This window comes from Homo sapiens, chromosome 10 (assembly GCF_000001405.40).
Source record: "Homo sapiens chromosome 10, GRCh38.p14 Primary Assembly".
Taxonomy (NCBI): domain Eukaryota; kingdom Metazoa; phylum Chordata; class Mammalia; order Primates; family Hominidae; genus Homo; species Homo sapiens.
In genome coordinates this window covers 104474221-104482284 of record NC_000010.11, presented here as the reverse complement: position 1 = coordinate 104482284, position 8064 = coordinate 104474221, and the positions used below count along the sequence as shown (strand labels likewise).

At 43.4% G+C, this 8064-nt stretch overlaps 1 long non-coding RNA gene across 1 annotated transcript, besides 2 other annotated features; it reads left to right on the top strand.

Annotated features, from left to right (window-relative positions):
- Nucleotides 425-924: an enhancer, noted in NCBI's record as "H3K27ac hESC enhancer chr10:106241119-106241618 (GRCh37/hg19 assembly coordinates)". NCBI's record gives its function as "activates a minimal SCP1, AML or CMV promoter by ChIP-STARR-seq in primed H9 embryonic stem cells {active_cell/tissue: H9 hESC(primed)}" and the evidence as "EXISTENCE:reporter gene assay evidence [ECO:0000049][PMID:30033119]".
- Nucleotides 925-1426: an enhancer, noted in NCBI's record as "H3K27ac hESC enhancer chr10:106240617-106241118 (GRCh37/hg19 assembly coordinates)". NCBI's record gives its function as "activates a minimal SCP1, AML or CMV promoter by ChIP-STARR-seq in primed H9 embryonic stem cells {active_cell/tissue: H9 hESC(primed)}" and the evidence as "EXISTENCE:reporter gene assay evidence [ECO:0000049][PMID:30033119]".
- LINC02620 (long intergenic non-protein coding RNA 2620) lies at nucleotides 2010-7346 on the top strand. The gene is made up of 3 exons (NR_120624.1): nucleotides 2010-2152; nucleotides 5228-5383; nucleotides 6632-7346. It is a non-coding gene; the product is annotated as a long intergenic non-protein coding RNA 2620 (long non-coding RNA).
- The last annotated feature ends 718 nt before the right edge of the window (nucleotides 7347-8064 follow it).

The following is an 8064-nucleotide window of genomic DNA, read 5'->3' as shown; positions in this document are numbered from 1 at the left end:
ATGCACAGCAGCCCCAGCAAGTGGAGAACCTAGCTCACCAGTCCCAGTATCCTCCAGAGAAACAGCCCTATATATTCTGCCTAAGATGTGGCCCTTTCCATATTCTCTTCGCCTCAAGAGGGAAATTTTTTTTTTCTTTCTATTCATGTCTCCCTTAAAAATGAGATTCCATTCCTTCCATGCAAGGGCTGGGCCCAAATCAGCAAGAATTCCAGCTACATGGGCCAGGGGAGGGTCCTGGGAGTCCAACCAGGTCATTTCCTGGAGGAGCCTGAATCAGACATGACCCAAGAAGTCATACAAATCCAAGGTAAAGAAGGGAGCCAAAAAGAGCCCATGACAGTGCAAGACAAGCCACATTGGGCCCAGACCCCAGGTGGGACACTCAGGGCAGAACCAGGAAACAAGGTGTGAGGTCTGGCTCAGCTTGTGGCCCCCGAAGCAGGCTCTGAGATAAGGTTTGGGGGTCGGTGGTTCCTTTGGGAGGTGATCCTGCAAAGCAGCAGTAGGAGATGGGGAACTAAGACAAGGAAAGGAAGGAGGCAAATACAGGGTGTATGATAAGAAGTTCACCATTTGGGACAACTGAGACTCCATCACACTGGGGAACTGTGGGAGACCACGTAGAACATATTTCAGGGTTGTCCCACCAGAGGAGTCAGGGAGCTGGGGTAGTTACTCCTACCTCCTTCCCATTAATAGCTGAGGGATGCTCCACATGTGATAACTCCAGGCATTTCAGCCTGCCCCACCTGCTCAGGCGAAACTGGGTCCCCCTGCAGCCAGAGGAAGCCCACAGGCAGGCAGTCTTGGGTGCTTGCAGAAAAACCCCTCGTTGGCTGAGCCCAGGAACTGCTGAGGTCAGAACAGAGCAAACAGAAACTGGGAGGGAAAGAGTGTAAGAAAACGGTTAAAATCCTCAAGGTGACAAAGGGGACAGAAGGACTGTGAGCTCACCAGTGTACCTGGCCGATGACCACATGACACAGAGGAGGTGGGGCTGGGGTTTCCAGGGTCAGGGCTGGGCTAAGGAGGAAGCAGCTCCCATGGGCATACCATGTCCATGCCCCTCACGGACCTGCTCTGTGTTCCCTTCCCTGTCCTAGGGATGAGCTGGACAACCAACCTGGGCGTCAGACTCCAGGAAATGGCAGGGTCCTTAGTCCTCCTGTCACCTTCTAGCTTCTCTCTCTTCCCCCATTCTGCCCTGCCTGAAACCCCATGCACTTGCTCCCTAGGTGAGGGCAGCGTGACATTTCTAAGATGATATCTCCTCTCTCTCCAGCCCAGACCCACAGCCTGACCCTGTGACAAAGGCCCCAGAGCCATCACTCTGCAAATAACTGTGGCTGGGTGAGAGGTACCAAAGCCAACGTGATGATCTGAGACAGACACCTGTAATTTCACATTCAGAAAAACCCAGACCTTCAAACAGAAGTGCTATTTCAATTTTCTCACTCCCATTCTTCTTTAACCTCAGACTAAGAGGGGAATAAACCCTCTTTGATTTGTAGACTGAATTCTTTAAAGAGACAGCTTATTCTTTTTCAAATTTATTTTTTCCTTTTGCTTGGGGCAGACACCAGGGTCCCAAAATGGGAATTTGGTACCTTGGTTAGATGGCTCAAACTGCCAAAAGTTACTATAGGGAATACTGCACTACCAATCCATTTTTCCTGCTAATCCAAAAGTCAAATAAGTCCATGGAGGGCTTTTTTTTCCTCTAGAATTTCAGGCTCCCTGAGGGCTAATTTCTCGGAAAGCTGCATTAAACTAATAGCACCATAAAAGGCCCATTGTGAGATGTAATTGGTTTGCAGGACTTCCTATAAAAATAATAAAAAGACTGCCAGAGGCAGTTTCCAAAGGTCAATTATCTTTGTGTTGCTTGAGTTGAGTGGAGGTCAGTCCCAGAATTCCACTTTATAGGCATATTAATCAAAACTGGGCCTGCCCACCCATCTGACCCCATCAGCTGTGAGGGAAGTCACAGGTCCCACCCTTAAGCTGGTTGCCAAATGGTGTTTTGGGCTCTTCTTTTCCCAAGAAGAGACTAGCCCATTGTCACCAATGCAGAGCTGGAAGCTGAAATTGTTAAGGCAGAATGAAAGGGAGAAAAGCACGTCCTGAGCACCAAGAAGAAGATAACTCGGTGAGTCACGCAGGCCATGGGGCAGGCAGTGTGCTCAGAGACCAGGCTAGACAGGGCCCTATTCCCAAGGAGCTAGGGAAGTGGTTGAGCCAGAACTCTTGGTTATATTTGGCATAAACCAACTTAAACTAGATTAAGCGAAAGTGAAGTTTAGTTGGCTAACATAACTGGGAATCTTAAGGATGGATGGATCCAAGGGCTCAAACAATGCCAACTGTTCTCGTTCTCTCTCTCTCTCTCTCTCTCTCTCTCTCTCTCTCTCTCTCTCTCTCTCTCTCTCTCTCTCTCTCTCTCTCTCTCTCTCTCTCTCTCTCTCTCTCTCCCACCCCCCCCCCGCCCCCTCCCCTTCCCGCTTCCCGTCTATCTCTGCCCTGCTGGGCCTTTCTCTCAGGCACGCTCTCTGCCACGTGGCAGTCAAGCAGACATCAGGCTTCTTGCCTCTCTTCCCCATTGAGCTATCTCAGCATAAAGAGGGACTTTTTCTCCTACTGTTCATCAATTCCAGGAAAAAACTTGCTAGCCCTGTGTGGTTCACATGCCTACTCCAGACACTCCAGACCAATCATTGTATCCAAGGGGTTGTAATTATCTGATTTGCTGAGACTGGGTCACATGCCCACCCCTGCCCACCCACTCCTGGTTTTACAGGAACAGGGTTTTCTGCTTTCTCCTGCTCAAAATAAAATCTGAATAACAATTGCTCTTGCAAGGCCCTAAGTTCCTAAAATAATGAATTATTCTCAAGCCCTAGAATATGCAACTCTCAATAAGGATGCATGGAAAAGTATGGAAGGATGTGCCAAAATATTAACAATGCTTATGCCTAAATGCTAGGTGTGACTTTTTACCCTTACTATGTATCATGTTTTCTAATCTTTCTGCAATGAAAATTTATTGCTTGTATAATTTTTTTTTTTTTTTTTTTGAGACGGAGTCTCACTCTGTCACCTAGGCTGGAGTGCAGTGGCATGATCTCGGCTCACTGCAAGCTCCGCCTCCCAGGTTCACGCCATTCTCCTGCCTCAGCCTCCGGAGTAGCTGGGACTACAGGCGCCCGCCATCACACCCGGCTAATTTTTTGTATTTTTAGTAGAAACGGGGTTTCACCGTGTTAGCCAGGATGGTCTTGATCTCCTGACCTCGTGATCCGCCCGCCTCGGTCTCCCAAAGTGCTGGGATTACAGACATAAGCCACCGCGCCCGGCCTGCTTGTATAATTTTTAAAAGGAAAAAATAATCCTCGAAACTTATTGATCTAATTACTTTGATTCTATATGCACCAAGCAGCCCTTTGAGGACCTAAATTGGTTTCCAAAGTCAACTTTGCTACTGAAGAGAGATGGGCCAACCATCCAGAACACTCAGTGGCCATGTCTTTTAATAATGCTACTCAACCATGCTGAGTATCAAGTCTTGGATATATATATCTCCTGCTCGCAAAGTGCCAGCTCAACAGCCAGCCTCTTCTTGGCCCAATCTGATGGCAGCATCATGAGGTCCTGAAGGATAAAAGTGTGTGCCTTCTCACAATAGCCCTGCTGTGGCTGGCCACATTTGTGGCTGACCACAGAGCAATTACTCATTAGCAGCTGAGTAAAAGCCAGTGCATTTTCTATCATCTACATGAAGGGGTGGGCTCTTGATATAATCAGTGACAGTTCACACTGAGTATGAAAGGGATGCGCGGTTCCTGGGAGCAGCAGCAGAAATGTTCCACCTAGGGTCAGGAGTTCCATAAAGAGTCATTTCTGTGTTGGGAATAAAGGTGGACATTATCAGACCTTTGAAATAGCTGAAACTTAGATCTTGATATTTGAATAGGATCAAAGGGCCTTGGCATAATACAGTACTTTTTATGGACTCCTTTGTCACACAGGTATGGAGATACGCATGTATTCAGTCAAAAGTATTTTTAAATTTTTATATCTAGGCTCATCTTGGAAGAGATAGGATTACTGGCCAAATAAGGAATAAAATTATTCAGGCCCGTTGATGCATCTTAGATGTGAAACTAAGTGATTAAACACCAAGCTACATTTATAATATTCACATGGACCCTAAACCTGGTATTTTTCCCAAGAAAAATAGCTATTATTCATAACTAAACTAATGTTTACCATTCATCTTCTATGATGTACTCCTATTATTTTAAGTGGTCTCTTACAACAACCCTAAGAATTTTTCAAGATGGGAAGTTAATGAATAATACTAGTGATTGGAAGAACCAGAATTTAACCCAAGTCTGATTCTGTCCCATCCTTCCCACATGCCCACATACCCTTCTCAGCAACACCCCAACTATACCTGCATATAGTATGCCTATCTGTAGACATCTCAGATGTGATTAACTCATGTAGTGTTTGCAGGCCACATTTTCTGCATCTTCCACATATTAATATGGGGCCAATGGAAAGGGATGCCAAGTGAAAAAAAAAAACTCAAATAAAAAAACAGAAGGTAGAGTTAACTCTGCAAGAGCTAAATCAATTTAACTCAAAGAGTCCGTCTTACACTACATAGAAAGTACCAGCTGAACAGTGGGCTCTGAACCAGCTTGGCCCTTTCTGGCTTAAATACAACCTCGCTGGAGGAAATTTCCTGAAGTGTCAGGTGGGCATAATTCTAAACATAATGCTAAACATCAGCAGGGAAATAAGCCCTGTGGTTATAAATCCCATATGAAATAGTAAAAATGTCTCTGACTAGATAACAGCATGACACAACAATGTTCCAGAAAGACAAACATAAATGTAAGTTGCTGCCTACTTTAAAGAAGAAGAAGTAGTGACAAACTCCCTGTAGCCACTTTGCCAAGTCCTTCATATTAGTGCTTGGAAAGTTACAGGGCCTCAGGGTCTGTTCTCAGACAACGCTTTCTAGGAGGGGTGCCCTCCAAACTGGGTTTATTTCTTCTAATGCTCAGGCTGGGGAATGTACAAATCTTTCTTCAGAGGTTTATAGAAAACAAGACTGGCTTATTGAGAGTATGGCTTTTTGTTGTTGTTCTTTACAATAACAAGAGGATTTGGATACACACTTGGGTTTCTAAAGTATAAATCCTGCTTAAATCCATAGAAGTTAAGAAGACGTGATGGTACTTTGGAGAAGAAAGCAACACCTGAGTCAAATTGCACTGAGCAACGTTCTTTGTTGTTGTGAGATATTGATAAATCTCCAGGTCTTCAACAAGGGGAGTCGAGAATAGGAAACTCATTTCAAATCATATCTCAGGTAGGCGTCTGAACCAAAATAAGATGAAAGTCATTAATTTTTTTTCTATTAAGCCACCTAGCACAAGTGGAATCATTCTCTCCTTTTCTTATTTTGACCTGAAATCTGTTAAAGACAAGAGCCAAGATTCCTATTCCAAATCTTCAGAGAACTGCACAAAACTGTTCGTTTCTTTTTTCCTTAACGAAAACAAGATGTGAACAAAACTGTCACTTAATATGTTAATTAATACAGGGAGATATAATTAGCTGCTACAAGCATTCCTTTCTCATCTCAACCATCACTGACACCAAGGAGGTTAACATCTCTATTGCTGTTAGGGTAATAAGCCACCTGATGGATAGGTGTGTTCTACTTGTCTTAATTTGGTCACACAACATCTCAAACTAATTTCAGAATAATCTCCAAAATCCTCTTCATAGATAAAAACAGAGGCAGAGAAAAAATGCTTCCTCGGGCAAATTTTCACATCTGTAAACATAAACAGCCTTATACCAAATCACTTAACTTTCCGTAAAAACATAAATATGGGTCGCAACAGTAAGACTGCCCAAACTTTGCAACTCAGGGCAAAGCTAGAACAATCTCTCCAGTAACAAACTAAAGAGTGCTCAAGTATTTAACCACCTAAACTAAAAACCATACTATCACCAGTTTACATAACACCCCAGAACAAAAAGATTAAAACACCATCTTCACTAGGCCGTGTTTAGGTGAGGTTGTGCACTGTTTATGCTATTCTTGGCTTTCCTTTTATTTCAAGAAAATCAAGGCCATTCGACCACAAGATAAAATCCAGGCATGCAGTTTGCCTAATGATGAGCATGCTGCCCCTTTAACTGCATCATTCCCTCACCCCCTCTTCACCCTCCATCTGAAACAAAACACGAGCTGCTTGTCTTCCCATTACCTTCTCCTGTGACCAATTTTCTCCCCACATCTCTGGTCATTTCTCACCATTGCCTGCAGCTTTACATCTTCAGTCAGTTCCCTGTAGTCTTTGCATATTTTTTTAAATTGAGTGCTTTAATGCAGTTGTCTCAATATAATCAGTTATTAGGTATAATTACCTCTTTACGGGTAGAATTACCATTCCATTAAGTTTATTAATTCTTCAGGAAAGTGGGGTTACATAATATTTGAGTTGGAAGCACTTCTTCCAATGTCTTTGCTCCAAGCTTCTGTGATACACAAATACTGTCTTTGATAGCCCTGATTCATGACGTCTTCTCTGCTTAAACACTCCAGGTGACAAGAAGGTTACCATATTTGAGGCAGCCTGTTGGGTTGCCTGACGGCGAAAATCTACAGAACATTCTGCCTTACATTGCTGGAGACTGTCTCCTACAACTTGAGTCTTTGATACTGGTGTCACTTTCAGGAGCTCTAAGAATACGTCAACTCTCGCTTCTGAGTTGGTGACCCCTCAACCAAGAAAGGACGGTGATCTCATTCCTCTCAGCAGGAGTGTTGAGCTCAGACAACTATGAAAACCAAAAATCATCCCAGGTAGGTTATAAGGGATTGAAGAGAACCAGAGAGTGGCTCATTCATAGGAAGAAGCTGTGATTTGGCACCATGTGAGCGTCGTCAGAGATAAATGAAGATCCAACACTGCCAGAGCTTTCAAATCTCCAAGAGAAGCATTCAACCTGAATTGGTATGTGAAATGTCTCAGTTTTTAAAAGTTGACAACCAAATCAGAAAATAATTTTAAACACCATGTAGGCCCAATGAAACACATCTCCAAGCCAGATCCAAATCACAGAATTCCAATCACAGGTTGAAATCCACTTCTCTAAAATCTTTTCGTCTCTGACCGGGCATGGTGGCACACGTCTGTAGTCCCAGCTACTCAGGAGGCCAAGGTAGGAGAATTGCTTGAGCCCTGGAGTTCGACGCTAGCCTGGGCAACACAGCACGACTCAGTCTCTAAAAGTAAAAATAAAATATTTTCTCCAAACTAGAGGTGTGGTGGTTTCTACAACAATGGCAAATGTTTGTGATCTCTTTCGATTTTTATTTTCCTATACACCGGCCTGCAGAAATGGTTAAGTGTCTTGATGAGAGCATGTATTTGCATTTACCTGAAGGTTTTCTTTTTTAAAGCATTTCAATCAAGCTTATCCCCCATGCAAGTTTGCCTGTATGAATACAAGTTAGATCGTTATAAGTTATTTAGGTAATAAGCCAACATCATTATTTAACATCTCTGAACTGGGGTTCAGAGAGATTATTTAACATCTCTGAACCCTCATTTCCTCATCTTAAAACAGGATTTTAAAAAATATCTTCCTTGGTGGAACTTAATCACTACCAATCCTTTCTGGGCTGAGGTTGCTCCAGAGTTAGTGACTTGCTCCCAAAGGACAGAGTCAAGAAAGAGAGAAACAGTGATTTTACAGTGGGAAACCTGACAATACTACCTTAACCAAATGCTGAAAGTGAACATCATCAGTGAAGTTGTGTGGCTATCACATACCTCCTGATATGAGGGACTTTGCCTCTGTGGTATACTTCCCAGAAGGCCATAACCCAATCTAGTCATTAAAAAAAAACAATTTTATTTCAGGGGATATTCTACAGAACAGTGCTTCAAGGAGAAAATAGTCAGTTGGAGCAAATGTAGTTGAGAGATTGTATAAGATTAGGACAGGAAAATTTCTGCTGGATTTAAATGT